Source organism: Homo sapiens, chromosome 1 (genome assembly GCF_000001405.40).
Source record: "Homo sapiens chromosome 1, GRCh38.p14 Primary Assembly".
NCBI classification, from domain to species: Eukaryota; Metazoa; Chordata; class Mammalia; order Primates; family Hominidae; genus Homo; species Homo sapiens.
This window is the reverse complement of record NC_000001.11, coordinates 77,295,567-77,314,790: the sequence shown is the minus strand read 5'-3', so window position 1 is coordinate 77,314,790 and position 19,224 is coordinate 77,295,567. Positions and strand designations below refer to the sequence as shown.

The 19,224-nt window shown below is 37.6% G+C and overlaps 1 protein-coding gene across 8 annotated transcripts in view, besides 1 other annotated feature; it reads right to left on the bottom strand.

The window, feature by feature from the left end:
* Positions 1-19,224, bottom strand: part of AK5 (adenylate kinase 5) — a 277,948-nt gene that overhangs the window by 245,176 nt on the left and 13,548 nt on the right. For all 8 annotated transcript variants that reach the window (NM_174858.3, XM_005270739.6, XM_017001012.2 and 5 more), the window contains 2 exons: positions 17,063-17,232; positions 16,844-16,957 (listed from right to left, as the gene is read on the bottom strand). In NM_174858.3, coding sequence (NP_777283.1) covers positions 16,844-16,957; positions 17,063-17,232 — 284 coding nt within the window. The remainder of the gene's footprint in view (positions 1-16,843; positions 16,958-17,062; positions 17,233-19,224) is intronic.
* Positions 2,340-2,841: an enhancer, noted in NCBI's record as "H3K27ac hESC enhancer chr1:77777635-77778136 (GRCh37/hg19 assembly coordinates)". NCBI's record gives its function as "activates a minimal SCP1, AML or CMV promoter by ChIP-STARR-seq in primed H9 embryonic stem cells {active_cell/tissue: H9 hESC(primed)}" and the evidence as "EXISTENCE:reporter gene assay evidence [ECO:0000049][PMID:30033119]".

Genomic DNA, 19,224 nt, shown 5'->3' with positions numbered 1-19,224 from the left:
CCTGCTAGAATTAAACAGTACCTTTACAAAATTATAGCTAGATTGAATAAATAAGTTCTAGTGTTCTATGCCACTGTAGGATGACTATACTTAACAATAAATATATAGTTTCAAATAGCTAAAAGGAGGATGGAGGATATTGAATGTTCCCAACATAAAGAAATGATAAATGTTTGAGATGATGGATATGCTAATCACCCTGATCTGATCACCATACACTATATGTATTGAAACATCATTCTGTACTCCATAAATATATGATTGTGTATCAATTAAAAAATTAAGCTACATTAAAAAGTACAAAAAATAATATCTTTAAATGTATTGTGTTTATATCATCTGTATTTCTTGGTCCATTCTCCTGGTCTTTTTTTTTTTTATTTTTTTGGTTGTCGTTTGTTTGATTCATTTAGTATGAGTTGATTTTAGGTTATAAAAGCCCAACAATTGTAGCTAGAGAATATTCCGGCATATTAATCTATGTTTCTAAAAAAGTAGGTGGTAGTTAAGACTGAAGCCTCAGGACCTGCTTAGCCTGGTTCAAATACCACCTCTGCCTCTTGATACATGTGACTTGGAGCAGATTCTCCAGCCTCCTTGAAAACGTAGCCTCCATCTCCTCACATATAAAATTAGAACGACTCTTCAATTCATATCATAAGATTGTTTTGAGGATTAACATCAATATATTAACATATATGGGTTCAGAACAATGGCACATAGCAAATTCTCAATATATGTTCAATATTGTCATTACTATGACTACAATTATTTTATTATTTCTCCCCCTCTTCCCCTTTGTCCATCAAGCAAATAGCCAGCTCTGTACTTCATTGCCTCAAGGAAGATATGTGGCAGGCAGAGGCAAAGACTTCTGCTTTCTTACAGGCTGTGTCTTTAGGGAGAATCTTGACGGACTGGACATACCCCGCAGGGAGCAGCGTAAGGGAGAGGATCTGACTGCACAGGCATCTTTGTCTGAGGGCGTAGGCTGTACTGAAAAAGAAGTAAAAGAAGTAACAGGATCCTAAGAATCACGGCAGCAGCTGCCATGGTACCACAGGGTACGGAAAGCAAACCCACAAACCCAGTTCTGCCAGCAGAGGGCCATAACTGAGACAGGGGAGGACAGGGTGTGCTGTAGAGTATGGACTCCATCGCCTTATAAGGACCAGGTTGGTGATGGAAAGGAGAGAGAGGGCCGGGCTAGGGAGGGAGGGAAGCTGCTGTGAACTGGGGAGCACCTACCTTGCCTAACAACAGACACTACACACATGTAGGAATGTAGACTCAAAGCTGCCAAATCTCCAAAATTTTCAAGAAAAGCAAAAGTCTGCTTTTGAATTGGTAACCTCCCAATTTTAAAATTTGGTGCACACCTAAAAAATTGTCTGCAGCCCACATTCAGCCTCAGGGCTGCCTGTTTGTGACCTCAAGGTTAGAGAAAGCTAGTGGTCTAGAGTCTGTATGCCCTCCAAGATTGGAAGCCTAGCTCTGTTCTTGCCTGCTGGTGGCTTTAAGCAAGTTATCATCTGAGCCTTGGTTTCCTTACCTGTAAAGTGGAATAATGACAGCTAATCTTGGGGAGTAAAGTGATAACATGATAAAAATCAGGAATAAAATGTATACATTCAAATATAAATACTATTGTAGAAACAATATACTTTGCTTGTACCAAAAACAGAAAATAAATACAGAAATGGTGGAAAAACCAGATCAGTTTAACATCAATCAGTGTCTATAAATACAATAGAAAGAAGAAGTCTGGATCTTTGCAACATTTGGGGTCACAGAAATAATTTTTTTGGTACACATTTGGAAGAGAACTAGCCAGCATCATTATGAAGGAAGGTCTGCATAGGTTCTTAAAAGGCAGCTGGGGACACGAAACCACTCCTCACATGAAAATCACATGGAAGTGAATATACAAGCCTAATTAGGACAGGGAAGAAGGCAGCACTGTGGGATCAACCCCTCAGAGGGAAAAACTGGAAGAAAAACTGGATGGAAAAAAAGACAGTACGTGTAATGGAGGGACTTTGGGTTACACTAAATATATAAAACCAAGATGCATATTTAAGAACACCTCAGCTCTGTGGTTGTCTGTGCTGATTGCATCCGTGGTGATGTGAATGAACCAGATTGCTTAAGGGACTTTTTGTTTTTTTTTTTTTTTTTTAGACAGACTCGCTCTGTCACCCAGGCTGGAGTGTGGTGATGCAATCTTGCCTCACTGCAACCTCCGCCTCCTGGCTTCAAGTGATTCTCCTGCCTCAGCCTCTCAAGTAGTTGGGATTACAGGCATGTGCCACCACGCCTGGCTGATTTTTGTATTTTTAGTAGAGACAGGGTTTTGCCATATTGGCCAGCCTGGTCTTGAACTCCTGACCTCAAGTCATCCACCTGCCTCGGCCTCCCAAAGTGCTGGGATAACAGGCATGAGCCACCATGTCCAGCCTTAGATTGCTTTAGGAACCAATTCTTAGAAGGCAGAGTTGATAGAAGATTATGGTGAAGGGCACAGCGACTATACAACTCAACCCATATCCATGTACCTAGAAGAAGTGAGACCACCCAATGCTAATTTAGAGACGGGATTGTCAACAACTTCCTCATAGAATTGACGTGAATTGTAATCATGTATTTAAACCACAGCTAGGTGCCTGGCACTTGGCACGTACTTCCTAAATATTACTTCTGCTACCATGGACTTATTTTGGAACTCTGGATTATCATCCCTTCTGGCCGAAAATAACGAATTATTATTTCTTTTTTGCTTCAGGAGCTGTAGGGGAGGAAGGGATGAGGGAAATGGGTTGTGCTCATTAGTGGGCTTCTAAATGCTTCTTGCCCAGTGGTGTGAATGTCCCAGGACTCCAGCTGACAGATCACTAGAGTGGTTTCCAGCCATTCTTAGCAGTTGAAAACCTTCTTCAAAGTCTTACATGGAACCTCAGAACAGAACAAAATCAGAACTGTTCTGGGCAGCCTTTAACACCTCAAAGTGGCCTCTAAGGGTTTCATCAACCAATTTGAAAAACAGTCCCTAGAAGGAACCTGGTTCTTCTGCCTTCAAAGCCTCTGACAATGAGTAATGGATTCAGTATCAGGGGGAAAAAGCTCTGACAAAAGAAAGGGAAGAGTTGGCTCTTCTCCTTATAAATCTATGGAGTGTTTATCTTTAATATGGTCTAACGACAATAACGACTTTCTTTTATTGAGTGTTTACCATGAGCCACAAACTGTACTAGAACTATAGATATTTTATATCATTTAATCTTCACAATAATCTTGTGAGACATTATTATTCTCATTCTTGAAAGGCAAACACCGAGGCTTCAAGAGGGTCCATAAATTAGCCAGTAGTACACATTGAATGAGAGTCAAACTACTATACTTCGCTGATGCTATAATTAACTCTATTGATTTATATGAGGAGCTGAGAAATAAGAATCTCAGAAATTAAACTCAAGATCACTTTTTATGCAGCCACTTGAATCTTTCCTTTTTCTGAATATCCATGACACAAATATTTATTTGCCACTTCAAATCAACATACATTTAATAGAACTCAGTGTAGTAAAGGAATGTTCTAAGTTGGCAGGCAGGTGTGAGGGTCCTGAAGGTGGCAGTGGTAAGAAGGGAAGAAGAAAAGAAGGAAGTTTACAACATGAATGAGTCAGCTGTGCCGTAAAGAGAACAGAAAAGAAGGCTGTCTAGGGAGACAAACAGACATACCCACAAACACAAACAATAATTCTATAAAGATGGAGCGTTAAGAATTGGTTAGAAAAAAGTAGCTCATTCACAATAGTAGCAAACCTATAAACGATTATATTTAGGAACAAAACTAACAAAACCATACAAGATATTTATATGAAAAATTATAAAACCTTATTTAATGAAGAACATAAAGCTAGACTTGAATAAACAGAGTGACATGACAATGTTCATGGATGGGAATATGTGAGTTCTCTTAAAATTAATCTATATACATAATATAATCTATATTGAAATTCAAATCAAAATCTCAGCAGAATCTGACAAACTGATACTAAAATTTATAAAGAAGAATAAATGTATAGGCATACCTAACTTAAAAAAGAATAGGGCCGGGTGCGGTGGCTCATGCCTGTAATCCCAGCACTTTGGGAGGCCGAGGCGGGTGGATCACCAGGTCAGGAGATTGAGACCATCCTGGCTAACACGGTGAAACCCCGTCTCTACTAAAAATACAAAAAAAATTAGCCGGGCGTGGTTGCGAGTGCCTGTAGTCCCAGCTACTCGGGAGGCTGAGGCGGGAGAGTGGCGTGAACCCGGAAGGCGGAGCTTGCAGTGAGCCGAGATCGCATCACTGCACTCCAGCCTGGGCTACTGAGTAAGACTCTGTCTCAAAAGAAAAAAAAATAAAAACCAAAAAAACAGAAGGGGTGGGATTGTTCTTTGGATATCAGGATATAATTTAGATTTCTTCAACTGGAACCATGATATTGGTGCAGAAATATATAAACAGAAGAAAGAACTGAATAGAGAAACCATATACAGACCAGTGTCTATACAGGAATAAGTCATTTCAATGAAGGAAAAGATGCGCAAGTCAACAAACGTTCTTTGGACCACTGAATACATTTTTCATTTCCATTCAAAACATGCAATAAAGTTATATTGCTACCTCACACTATACAAAAGAATTAGTGCACATAGAATAAATACCTGGACCTTTAAAACAAAACTAAAAATAACTAGAAAACTATAGAAGATTTTTATGAGATTATGGGGAACACTTTCTTAAGATCCAAATGCAAAAGCCAAAGGGAAAATAATGAAAAATACACCAATTCCAATTTAAAATTTCTGCAGGACAAAACATATCTCGAACATGACTGAGAAAAAATATAAATGAAAGAAAATATTATAAGATATGTAGCAAAGGATTAGTATCTAGAACATCCAAATCGATTTTAAAAACTCAAACAATCTAACAAGAAAAGAGTGGGGGCAGGGTTATGTTTTAGAAATTCTCAAAAAATGAAATACAAGTGGCCAAAAAACACATTTCTAAATGTTTCAGTTCACTAGTAATTTGAAGAATGCAAATTAAAATAGTGATACAGAAACACTTCTAATCCATCAGATAAATAAAATAAAAAGGTAAGTACTGATGATAAAACAAATTTTAAAGCAACATGAAAGTTCACTAATAAAATATAATGTATTTATAGAGTGTAACATGAAATCGTTATAAGGATGAGCTAGGTCTATATGTATCAACACAGATAAGCTCAAAAACAGAATGCACAGTGATAAAAGCAAGTTATAGAATTATATAAATAGCACTGAGGAAAGAGCAGGAGCAGATCACTGTGAAAAACAGGAAGTGGTACAGCATGTCGAACGTGTAGACAGGTATATAAAACTGGAAAATTAGTTGGGACCAGATAGTTGAATATATTGTTAATCACGATCAATTTGAGTGTTCGTGTGTGTTTATAGATTTGCTATAGACTTCCCTCCTTCATTTTCTTTCTTTTTTTCAATTTTTATTTTTATTTTAAGTTCCAGGACACGTGCAGGATGTGCAGGTTTGTTACACAGGTACATAGGTAAAAGTGTGCCACAGTACTTTGCACACCTGTCAACTCATCACCTAGGTATTAAGCCCCACATGCATTAGCTATTTTTCCTAATGTTCTCCCTCCCCCGACCCCACCACCCTGCAGGCCCCAGTGTATGCTGGTCCTCTTCCTGTGTCTATGTGTTCTCATTGTTCTGCTCCCACTTATAAGTGAGAACATGTGGTGCTCGGTTGTCTTTTTTTTTTTAAGACAGTGTCTCACTCTGTCAGCTAGGCTGGAGTACAGTGGCACCATGTCAGCTCACTGCAGCCTCAGCCTCCCAGGCTCAAGCAATTTTCCCACCTCAGCCTTCCGAGTAGCTGGGACTGTAGGCACACGTCATCACACCCAGCTAATTTTTGTATTTTTTGCAGAGATGGAGTTTTGCCATGTTGCCCAGGCTGGCCTTGAACTCCATTTTCAATAATAACGTCATGGAGCTCTTATTAGTTTCAGCTTTACTGCTTGGTTAATAAAACCTCCCTATGGAAATCCACCTTTTCGCCCCACTCCCATTCCATGAAATACGAAATTCTATAACCTTTTAAAAACACATCGCTTAGGTTGTCACTGTGGACTCTGGGCTATCTAGTGAAATCTTGGCTAGCAGCATGTTTAGTTGGCAGTGAAAAGATCTTAGACTTCCCATGCTTGCCCATCTTGATTCCTTTCCCCTCACTAACCTTTAAACAATCAGGCCAAAAGATGAGAAAAAGATTTTTTTTTTTTTTTTTTTTTTGAGACAGAGTCTCGCTGTCGCCCAGGCTGGAGTGCCGTGGCGCTATCTCAGCTCACTGCAAGCTCCATCTCCTGGAGAAACTACTATACAAAGCCAAGAAGTAGGGCCAGGTGGCTACTATGGCAGATAAGTACAGTCTTATCTCCTCCTCTTCTTTTAAAATGACAGGCCTGGGGACTGGGAGAGTCCAGCTCTTGGGCTGAGAAGTAAGGAAAAATGGCGCTATGCACTGCAAGCGGCTTGTGGTAGACTCCTAGTTGTCTATCAAAACCTGTTTTCCTTTCTTCCATGATAACAGCTCTGTAGAGACCCATGACTGACCACTTGATCACATTTCCCACCTCCTTTACAGTCGAGATAAAGCCATGTGACTTAAATTCTCATCAATGGAGCATGAGAAATGATGTGTCTGGGACTTAAGAAATTGAGCATCACCTGAGGCGGAGCAAGATGTCAGAATAGACAGCTCCACCATCGTCCCTCTTGTAAAGACACCAAGTTGACGACTATCTATATAGAAAAAACACCTTCATGAAAACCGAAAACCAGGTGAGCACTAACAGTACCTGGTTTTAACTTCATATTGCTGAAAGAAGTACTGACAAGATAGAAAAAACAGTCCTAAATTGCAGATGCCACTCCTCCCTCATCCCTGGAAGTGGCGGTGTAGTTCTGAGAGCCTCTCTGGGTGCCAGGGGAGGGAGAACACAGAAGAAGCATTGGAGACTTCAACACCTCACTTTCAGCATTGGAAAGATCTTCCAGACAGAAAATCAACAAAGAAACTTCATACTTAATCTGCACCTATGGACCAAATGTATCTAATAGATATTTACAGAGCATTTCATCTAAGAGCTGCAGAATACACATTCTTTTCCTCAGCACATGGATCATTCTCAAGGACAGACAATATTTTAGGTCACAAAATAAGTCTTAAAACATTAAAAAATTGAAATAAGATCAAGCATCTTCTCTAACCAAAACGGAATAAAAATAGAAATTAATAATAAGAGGAATTCTGGAAAAAATACAAATATATGTGATATATAATTATACAAATATAATTTCTTGATTGACCAGTGGGTCAATCAAGAAATTAAGAAGGAAACTGAAAAAAATTTTCAAACAAATGATAATGAAAACAAAACATACCAAAATCTATGGGATACAGCAAAAGCAGTATTAAGAAGGAAGTTTATAGCTATAAGTGCCTACATCAAAAAACAGGAAAGACTTCAAATAAATAATCTAAAGATGCATCCTGAATTTTAAAAAAGCAAAAGCAAATCAAACAAAAAAAATTAGTAGAAGAAAAGAAATAAAGATCAGAGCAGAAATAAATGAAACTGAAATGAAAAAACAATAAAAGGTTAAGGAAACAAAAATTTGGTTTTTTGAAAAGTAAAATGAAATTGACAAAGAAAATATTTGCAGCTTTTAGCCAGGCTAGGAAAAAAAAGAGACAAGATCCAAATAAATAAAATTGGAAATGAAAATGAAGACATTACAACTGATACTGTAGAAATTCAAGGATCATTAGTGGCTGATATGAGCAGCTATACGCCAATAAATTGGGAAATCTAGAAGAAATGAACAAATTCTGAGATGCATGCCACTTATCAAGAAGAAATCCCAAACCTGAACAGACCAGTAACAAGTAACAAGATCAAAACTGCAATAAAAAATCTCCCAGTTAAGAAAAAGCCTGGGACCAGATGGCTTCACTGTTGAATTCTACCAAACATTTAAAGAAGAACTACTACCAATCATATTCAAACCATTCCAAAAAATAGAGGAGGAGGAAATAATTCCAAAGTCATTTTATGAAGCCAGTATTACCTTGATACCAAAACCAGAGAAAGACGTATCAAAAAAAAGAAAACTAAGAGCCAATGTCTCTGATGAATACTGATGCAAAAATCCTCAAAAAAAAAAAAAAAAACAAAAAAAAACCTAGCAAATTGAATTCAACAATGCATTAGAAAGATCATTCATCATAACCAAGTGAGATTTATCTCTGGGATGCAAAGATGGTTCAACATACATAAATCAATCAACATGATACATCATATGAATAGAATGATGGGTAAAAATCACATGATCATTTCAATTGATGCTGAAAAGCATTTGATAAAATTAAACATCCCTTCATTACAAAAGCCCTCAAAAAAATGGAGACAGAAGGAGGATACCTCAACATAACAAAAGCCATATAGGACAGACCCACAGCTAGTATCATACTGAATGGGGAAAAACTGAAGCCTTTCCTCTAAGATTGGAAACATGACAAGGATGCCTACTGTCACCATCATTATTCAACATAGTACTAGAAGTCCTAGCTAGAGCAATAGCTACACATAAAATTAAATACCTAGGAATTAACCAAACAATCTCTGTAATGAAAACTATAAAACACTGATGAAAGAAACTGAAGACACCAAAAAATGAAAAAAAAATCCATTTTCATGGATTGGAAGAATCAATATTGTCAAAATATCCATACTACCCAAGCAATCTATAGATTCAATCTAATCCCTAACAAAATACCAATGACATTCTTCACAGAAATAGAAAAAAACAACTCTAAAATGTATATAGAACCACAAAAGACCCAGAATAGCCAAAGCCATCCTGAGCAAAAAGAACACAACTGGAAGAATCACATTACCTGACTTCAAATTATACTACAGAGCTGTAGTAACCAAAACAGCGTGGTACTGGCATGAAAACAGACACATAGACCAATCAAACACAATAGAGAACCCAGAAATAAATCCACACATCTACAGTGAACTCATTTTCAACAAAGGTATCAAGAACATCCATTGGGAAAAGACAGTCTCTTTCTGCCTTAATAAATGGTTCTGGGAAAACTGGATGTCCATATGCAGAAAAATAAAACTAGACCCTTATCTCTCACCATATACAAAAATAAAATAAAAATGGATTAAAGACTTAAATCCAAGACCTCAAACTATGAAACTACTAAAAGAAAACACTGGGGGAAATCTCCAGGACATTGGTCTGGGCAAAAATGTCTTGAGCAATATCCCATAAGCACAGGCAACCAAAGAAAAGATGGACAAATGGGATCACATCAAATTTAAAAGCTTTTGCACAGCAAAGGATACAAGCAACAAAGTAAAAAGACAACCCACAGAATGGTGGGTTGCAAAAAAAATTTGCAAACTACCCCTCTGACAATGGATTAATAACCAGAATATACAAGGAGCGCAAACAACTCTACAGAAAAAAATCTAATCAAAAGACAGGCAAAAGATTTGAATAGACATTCTCAAAAGACAATATACAAATGGCAAACGGGCATGTGAAAAAGTGTTCAACATCACTGATTATCAAATAAATGCAAATCAAAACTACAATAAGATATCATCTCACCCCAGTTAAATGGTTTATATACAAAAGACAGGCAACAACAAATGCTGACGAGGATGTGGAGAAAAGGGAATCCTCGTACACTGTTTATGGGAATGTAAATAGTCCAACCACTAGGAAGAACAGTTTGGAGGTTCCTCAAAAAACTAAAAATGAAGCTCCCATATGATTCTGCAATCCCACTGCTGGGTATATAGCCAAAAGAAAGGAAATCAGTATATCGAAGAGATATCTGCATTCCTATGTTTGTTGCAGGACTGTTTACAATAGCTAAGATTTGCAAGCAAACTAAGTGTTCATCCACAGATGAATGGATAAAGCAAATGTGGTACATAAGGCCGGGCATGGTGGCTTATGCCTGTAATCCCAGCACTTTGGGAGGCAGAGGCGGGTGGATCACCCGAGGTCTGGAGTTCGAGACCAGCCTGACCAACATGGAGAAACCCCGTGTCTACTAAAAATACAAAATTAGTTGGGCGTGGTGGTGCATGCCTGTAAACTGAGCTATTCAGGAGGCTGAGGCAGGAGAATTGCTTGAACCCAGGAGACAGACGCTGCGGTGAGCCGAGATTGTGCCATTGCATTCCAGCCTGGGCAACAAGAATGAAACTCCATGTCAAAAAAAAAAAAGAAAAGAAAAGAAAATATGGTACATATATACAACGGAGTACTGTTTGGCCATAAAAAAGAATGAGATCCTGTCATACGCAACAACATGGATGGAGGTGATTATGTTAAGTAAAATAAGACAGGCATAGAAAGACAAACATCACATGTTCTCACTTATTTGTGGGATCTAAAAATCAAAACAATTGAAGTCATGGAGATAGACAGTAAAAGGATGGTTATCAGAGGCCAGGAAGGGTCGGTAATAAGGGGTTGCGGATGTGTCGGGGGGTGGAGGCAGAGATGGTTAATGGGTACAAAAAATGTTAGAAAGAATGAATAAGACCTACTATTTGATAGCAAAACAGGGAGACTATAGTCAATAATAACTGTACATTTTAAAATAACTTAAAGAGTGTAATTGGATTGTTTGCAACTCAATGGATAAATGCTTGAGGGGATGGATATCCCATTCTTCATGATGTGCTTATTTCACACTGCACACCTGTATCCAAATATCTCATGTGCCCCTTAAATATATATACCTACTATGTACCCACAAAAGTTAAAATAAAAAAAGTTTAAAAAAGAATTTGAGCATAGATCCTCTGCACTCTCTTCCCCTTCCAATCAGCTGGAACCTGGCCATGGCAGTGACCTAGCTTTCAACATGCAGATGTCTACAATGTCCCAGGGCAGTTGTTCTGAAATTGTGCTCTTAAACCTCTGAGGATCGTCAAGACCCCTTCCAGAAGGTCATAGGTCAAAACTATTTTCCTACTAACACTATGACATTATGTGCCTTTTTTACTCTCACTTTCTCACAAAGGTACAGTGGAGTTTCGCAGTGGCGACAGGAAGTGTGATGTCACAGCAGTTTGAATACAAAAGCAGATATGAGAATACAACTCTCTTCTATTAGCTAGAAGTTAAAGAGATTTGCAAATATATAAAGCAATATCTCTCTCAACACTTTTTAAGTTTTGGAAAATATGATTACTTTTCTAAAAATATGTTATTCAAGTTAACTTGTGTGGATTTATTGTTATTTTGAAGGACTTAACAAATATTTTAAAATTTGTTTTGATTTCTCATATGGTGAATATCAATAGATATAGCACATATAAATGAAAGCTTTTTGAGGTCCTTAACAATTTTTAAAAAGTGTAAAGAGGTCCTGTGACCAAAAATTTTAGAGCTGTTGCTCTAGAGTTGGAAAGACAATGAGCTGGAAAAAACCCCGCATCTCTGCATGAATGTGAGGACTAAAACTGTCCTCCCCTCATTCACAGTGAGGCCATCCATTATATAAAAGGGAAATAAGTTTCTGTATTATGCTACTGTGTCATTGTGTCTTTCTATTATAGCACCTGGGATTTACTCTAAATAATACAGCCAATAGTTACATAAGTGGGGGCATGCTACTATATCAAAAAAACTAAAACATGCGACATTGATTTGCTTGGGTAGTAAGGGCACAGACATTTTAGGATGGAAAATTGATAACCCCTGTTATGTCATTGCATAACATCATTATTACTGTGATAACTTGGGAGGCAGGTCATGTTCCAATGGAGCCCATAGCTAAAGAAATGGCTGGAAAGAGCTAGAGTGTCTGTGTACACTGACTGCTCTTTGCTGCGTTTAGCAACATATTACAAGAAATAGATTAACTCAAGAAAGAATTGACTGCTTTGCGAGCAGATATAAGAAAAAAGAAAGTATCCACTAATTTAAGACCGCACAAGGTTAAAAAAGCCAACTGCCTGTATACCTCCAAACAGCAGGAGATTAGGCTATTGCAAAAAGAATTCCCATTTACCCACCACTACCACCAAAAAACAGGGCACCTAGCCCTGAAGCAAAACCTAGACTAAGGATGCTGCCTTTCTACCCAAGCCTGCTGTTTTAGATGGCCTGAAGCTAATTGTCATTAAAATGAGAAAGCAAAGAAATCACCACTATGCAATATATCTGCGTAATGAAACTGCACTTGTACCCTCAATCTATAAAAATGAACAGAAAAAGGAAAAACGGGAAGATAAAAAAGAAAGCAGCTTAATAACTATCTCTGGAAAAGGACTTATGATATAGTTACTAGCACGGACTGGAAGCTTTTTGCTTTTTCCTCTTTTTGAGAGGAAATCTACCAAATTTGGAAAGAAACAGTTTTTACCAAAATAAACATAATTCTAGCCAAAAAAAGGCATTTTTTTTTTAACTTAAAATAGGTCTCAGCCAGTTGCAGTGGCTCACACCTGTAATCCCAGCACTTAGGAGGCTGAGAGAGGATGATCACTTGAGGCCAGGAGTTTGAAACCAGCCTGGGTAACACAGGGAGCCCCTGTCTCCACAAAAAGTTTTTAAAAAACTAGCTGAGTGTGGTCCAGGAGTTCGAGGCTGCAGTGAGCTACAGTGGTGCCCCTGCACTCCACCCTGGCTGACAGAGAAGGATCTTGTCACTTAGGAAAAAAAAAAAAAGGAGAGGATAGCATATTAGTCTCCAATATACTACTTCAATGTGTCATGCAGATAATGGACAAGGAAGAACTTCTCAGAGGAACTGCCAGGGCAAGGACCTTTGCAATCCCTGCCTAACAGGATTCACTGTGGTTCAGTGAGTACTGTGTATATTCTCAAACTTTCCTTTTTTGAATAGGAGCCTTTATTTCATTGTCCTGGGCTTGCTCCTCCACTCTTTATTAGTGGTAGACAAGGAAGATAACATGAAGTTCAGTTTCCAGGTGGCTGAGTATGAGAAGTCAAAGCTAGACCTGATGAAGAAAACTATATATAGAGTAGAGATTCTCCACTTTTGAACTAAATGATGGGACTCTGGTTGTTTTACTTGGGGAGTGAGTGAGTACATTGTATGTGTGGGAAGAAGGGAGCAGGCGAGCATTTGCATGGCCAGAGAGGCAAACTGTGGGAGAAGATGCTAGTTAGTTCTCCCAGACTTCCATAGTAATAGCATTGCTGCCAGGCACCTGGCTGCCCAGCTGGACTCTACTTCCCGGCCTTCCTCTCAGTTCCAACAGGACTAAATTCTCAGCAATGCCTTGTGAGCAGAAGCGATGGATGTCACTTCCAGATCTGAGACTTCAGACCTTCACATTCTCTTCCCCGTCCATTCCAGCTGGAACCCATATGTGATGACAACACTTTTTCAACCACGCGGCCAGTGACAGTGTCCTAGGAGATGGCAGAAAAACCTGGGAGGAACCATGGTCCCTAAATGATCTCAAGGAAAAAAGCTGCCCAGTCAAGCTGGACTGTTCATATGGAGACTATTCCAAAAGAAGAAAAATACACTTCTTCATCCTAAAAGCCATTTAAGTGTTAGGCCCTTTTGTTACAGTGGTCTGACCATCACCCATATATGGCTGATACCAGAAATTCACCTCTTCTCACACCCCAGATCTGTGAGGAAATCTTGGGGAAAATGTTGGCATGTGTGTATGTGCCTACATTTGCACTAACAAACAAACAAACAAAAACTAAGTTAACGCAAAACCTTGAGGAGATGCAGTATAATAAAAAAAATATAGTTGTATCCTTTATGATAAACCACTAAATGTGTTTTTCTGGGTTCTGAGTCACTGCAGTGAATTATACAACCTGTGGAGAGTGTTATGGAAACCTTGAATTTATAGACTGTCAATCAGAAGTACAGGTGGTTGCTGGGACTTGCAACTGATGTCTGAAGCAGGAACAGACTTGTGGAACTAAGCTCTTAACCTGTGGGGTCTGAACTAACTCTGGATAGTGTCCAAGTTGAACTGAATTCTTAGGCACCCAGTTGGTGTTGGAGAATTGGAGAACTGGTGTGGAAGACCCCACACATTTGGTCTCAGAAGTGGTAGCAGAAAAAAAGACACCCCAGAAGCTTAAGCCTACACAGGGTGTAGAATAATCAGGGCTGACCCTGACACTGCTTTACATAAACATTTCAGCTTTGCCTCCACACCCGCTTAACTCCCGCAGGATGAGCAAAGATGACATTGACCTCAGACACCTCTGTACTGCCCACAGTGGCAAAGAACCTCTAGGCTGCTGGAATGTCAACCTAAGAAGATGTTAAATTGGAACTTTTCAGCCTCAGAAGTGTGGTTGAAAACAATAAATGTAAGTTACTGCTCATTCTACATAGAGATAACAGACCATCCTATAGAATTTGCTAACAGACCCCAAATCGGTACTGTTACCCGTGACTAGGCTATATAAGAGAAGATGTAGATTGATCAGGTATCCAGAGAGTTACCAGAGGGTTATGCTTTTCGGAGGGAATCCTCTCTTCCCTCCCTCTCCCACCTACTGCAAGTCACATGAGTAGGAATTTCAGGATTCTGATACACCACCTTAGCTTTCTGAGTCTGAATCTGGTCCAAGCTGGGGACAGCAGATATATGTTAAAGTGAATACGAAATTAAAGTTTTGATTTAGATTGGACTGGACTTTTTAAGAGCTGAAAATGAGATATTTTGTTAATGTTTTTTAAGTCACCAGAAAAGCCAGGGACTCTTCCTGAGTTATAATTCAACAAAAAAGAAAGATATTCAACATAGCATGTTTAAAAAGCAATTAAAAAAAAATCAAGTAGCTTCATCTGCTTGTACCTACCAAGTTTAGCACATTCAATATGTGGGTGGGAGAACCAGGTTTGGGTGGCAATGCCTGCCTCCCTGCCTATCACACTTCTACCAATAATCAAGAATCACATGGAATGGCTGCCATAGCACCCGCTTTCAACAGCAATATAATGTGGTAGCAACAGCAATAACAAAACTTCATCAGATATTTTCCAGTTTTTCTCTCTTCAAAGCCAGAACAATTAGAACCAAGCCTTTAAGCTGACTGAGCACCAGAGTTTCTGGACTTATGGTGGGAGAGGAAACCTAAGAAGGGGAGGCAGACATTCTAGCACAATAGGTGATCCAAAACCGTTAATGGGAACATTCAAAAAAATGTTTTGTAAAGCTACCCCTGGCCGTGAACTGCCCAACTCCAGGCTTCTTTCATGTGATGCATAAACTGACATCATATTTTACTTAATACTGTTTAATACGATATCTGTAATATGTTAAATGCTCCTTGAAATAAATAAGAAAAAGATTAAAAAGTCTGTAGAAAAATGGGCAAAGGAGAACAAGCAATTCACATAAGGAAGAAATACACATGGCCAATGAGTGTATGAAAATATACTTAACCTTAATAGTAACCCATGAAATGCAAATTTAAAACACAAAATGCCATTTACTCATCAGGTTTGCAAAAATTTTAAACATGAATCGTATCTGGTTGGAAAGGGTCTGTAGAAAAAGATACTGTCATTCAACATTGATATAACTTGGAAAAGTCATTATAAAAATTTAGAATGCATTTGTATATGAGCATGTGCACATGTGTCCATACATGTATGTATGCATGTAAGTATAGAAAAAGGTCTGGAAGAATATATAACAAACCTAACAGTACTCCTATTTCTCAGGAAAGGAGGAGCAGCGGAATGGGAGGGTATTGATGGACTTTCACGTTTTACAGATAGACTTAAAATTTGTATGAGCATATATTACTTCTGTAATTAAAAGAAAATTTTTTTGAAGCAGGGTCTTGCTGTGTCACCCAGGCTGAAGTGCAGTGGTGCCATCTTGGCTCACTGCAGCCTTGATGTCCTGGGCTCAGGTGATTCTCCTGCCTCTCAGTCTCTCTTAGCCTCCTGAGTAGCTGGGCCTATAGGTGTGCGCCACTATACCCGGTTAATTTTGTGTGTGTGTGTGTGTGGTTTTTTTTTTTTGTAGAGATGGGGTTTCGTCATATTGCCCAGGCTGGTCTGGAACTCCTGGGCTCAAGCCATCCATCCGCCTCAGCCTTCCGAAGTGTTGGGATTACAGGCGTGAGCCACTGAGTCCAGCCTTAATTTTTTTTAATGAAAAATCAATTAACATAAGCTTTTCAAAGCTTAAATAGATATATAAAATATTTTAATTGATTTATTTTCCTTTAAAACAGATGTATTGGGGGTTGAGCAGGCATAGCCTACTCAAATTTTGGCAACTGAACCCTATCTTAATCTACGTAGGTGGTTCAGTATTTCACAACCTGAAGAAAGTTTCCTTAGTTGGCATGAATATAAGTACAGGGTAATGTTTTGCATCCCTGGACAGTACTGAATAAGGCTTATTCTTAGTAATTCAAAATAAAAAAAAATTGTATGAAAAGTATTTTGAAATAAATTTTAGAGAGATTTGCATTTTTCAATAAAATGAATTCTATTATTAGTTATCTTTCCTTTTGGCAGAGACTGTCTTTAATTTTTAAGTGTTTGCCAAAGAAATGACCTTCTGCCAACCCATACTGATGTATTTGCCTGTTTTCAGACCAGAATTCATTCAAAAGCATCGCAAGTCTTCCAAGAAGTCTTTTTGTTTTTATTCCCAAAATTTTAAGCAAAAAGTAGTTCATTTAAAATATAAGGAGATATTCTTACTTGGTCCTCAAAAGATAGAGCCTGGGCAACATCTCTTGGAAATCCATCAATAACAATGCCCTCTTCATCAGGTATTTGCATCAATTTTTGTTTTATCTCTGTAATTGTTGTTTCCTTTTATAAACAGAAAGGATGACAAAAAAACCCCACAGTTAAACTTAGTATACTCAATCGGTATGAAAACATTTTGCAGAATAAAAGATAATTATACAGCAGTACCTGTGGGGCCAATTCTCCAGTTGTAATTATCTTGGCAATAAGACTCCATTTCCTATTGCTGCTGGTACTGTGGATCTTCTTTCTTAATAATTCTCCCACAGAAATGTATTGGAATCCATATCGTTCTGCAATTTTCAAACTCTGAGTACCCTTTCCACTTCCTGGACCACCTAGTATTTAAAACAGGCAAAACTGTGATCTTCTGATACAATAAGGACCTCCCTTTTATACAACTACTACTTCATCTGGGATGCAAATTCTGTGTCACCAAGACAGGGTGGTTAACAGTTCCATTTGTGGCATTCTCAGTGCTGCCTTTGAATGTAAAGCAAGTAGAGACTTTGTCAAGGAAAGAATTGTCTTGACCAACTGTATTAAATGAGAGATACAGGTTTTTCCTCTACCTATTTGAGCAAATAGCTAATTAAAAAAATTTTTGAACAGTGTAGTTGAAAGAAATCTTGACTTTTTTCTATGTAAAATCTAACATTTTTCCCTCTGTAATCAAAGAAAAATCTGTGGAATATAAAAAACAATGATCAAAATAACAATAATAGATTCCATGCCAACAGAGTTAATGTGTAATTCGGTGAAACGTAACCATTATTTTTAGACAAACGCCTACCAGTATTTACACAGCTTATTTAAATCTTTTTTGAAATGTTTGCTCATGCCTGTCCTTGCCTTATATCCTTTGAATTCTAGAGTTTTATGCAATGTAAACATAGACATATAGACCAATGGAACAGAATAGAGAACTTAGAAACAAATCCACACACCTACAGTGAACTCATTTTCCACAAAGATGCCAAGAACACACACTGTGTAAAAAGCAGTCTCTTCAATAAATGATGCTGGAAAAACTACATATCCATATACAGAGGAAATAAACTAGATCTCTATCTCTTTGTCATATGCAAAATAAAATTAAAATGGATTAAAGACTTCTATGAGATTATTTTTTAAATCAAAAGTAAGTTTTGGTTTTAAATAGCTGCTTTAACCTACTAATATATGGGCAAATCATGAATTGGCTTGAAATAAAAAAATTATCTGACCAATTCCATTGGCAAATTCAAACTGATTTATTCCTTGAAGAATCAGGTATCTTTCAGAAACTATATTTCCACACTTAATCACAACCACCAAACTAAGAGATTATACACTCCATTAATTTAAAAAATTCAGACACATTGAGAATGTTATTGTACTTTCAAGAAAAAAAATTTTTTGTCAACTAATGGAGGCAATAGTAGACAACAAAAAATATGATTGGCACAATTGACAGAGATATTCTCTGCCATTAATTTGTTGGATGAGCTTAATTACTGAATGTTTCTATCAAATTAATTTTACTTCTGTCTAAAGCCAGAATGGGCTTAATTTTGTTCTGTTCACTTATCTCTAAAACTTATAAATATTAGGGTCCATCTCACTGAAATTTTATGATTACGTTAACATGAGAGAGATTCGTATCTGTTCCAAGAGAGCCAGCTTTAAAAAAATTCTGCAGTGCTGGAAGAGAAACCATGTGGGCATCTATACCTCACTCTCACATTTTTAGGTTGGAACTAATACAAATTTGTAAGGTTCAGGTACAATTATTTTATAATTCCATAAAAGTCATAAAATTGTCCCAATTCTCTCAGACAACCTAAGATCCACCCTCTTCTTTCTTCCCTTGTTTCAATCCTCTTGAAATTATTTACACTTATTGGTTCTTCATCATTCTTGTAATATATAAAATGTTACAACACAGCATGTAAGCCTATAACAAGAATCATAACTTTGGGAAACAAGTTGATTTCACTGAATAGAAAGAAATGTGAAGTGGGAGAGATTTGAGTATTTACATATTCTCCGAAGATCTTAGTTTATTGAAATATTTTAATCATTTTCATATAAAATTCATAGTACACACAAAAAATATTTGTGCTCTTTTATACAAGATTAATTTGCTATCAAACCATTTTCATGAACAATCGAGCTTCCATTTGTTCATCCTGTTAATAATGACCAATACTTTATTACTAGCAGCAAGAACAACAAAATAGAAAGAATGTGTTCTGTCCACGTACAAATCTCATCATAAAATGATGAGATACTTCCCGATTATTTTTCATCTGTAGTTCTATCATTTATTTAAGTGTTTCCTTGTCTTC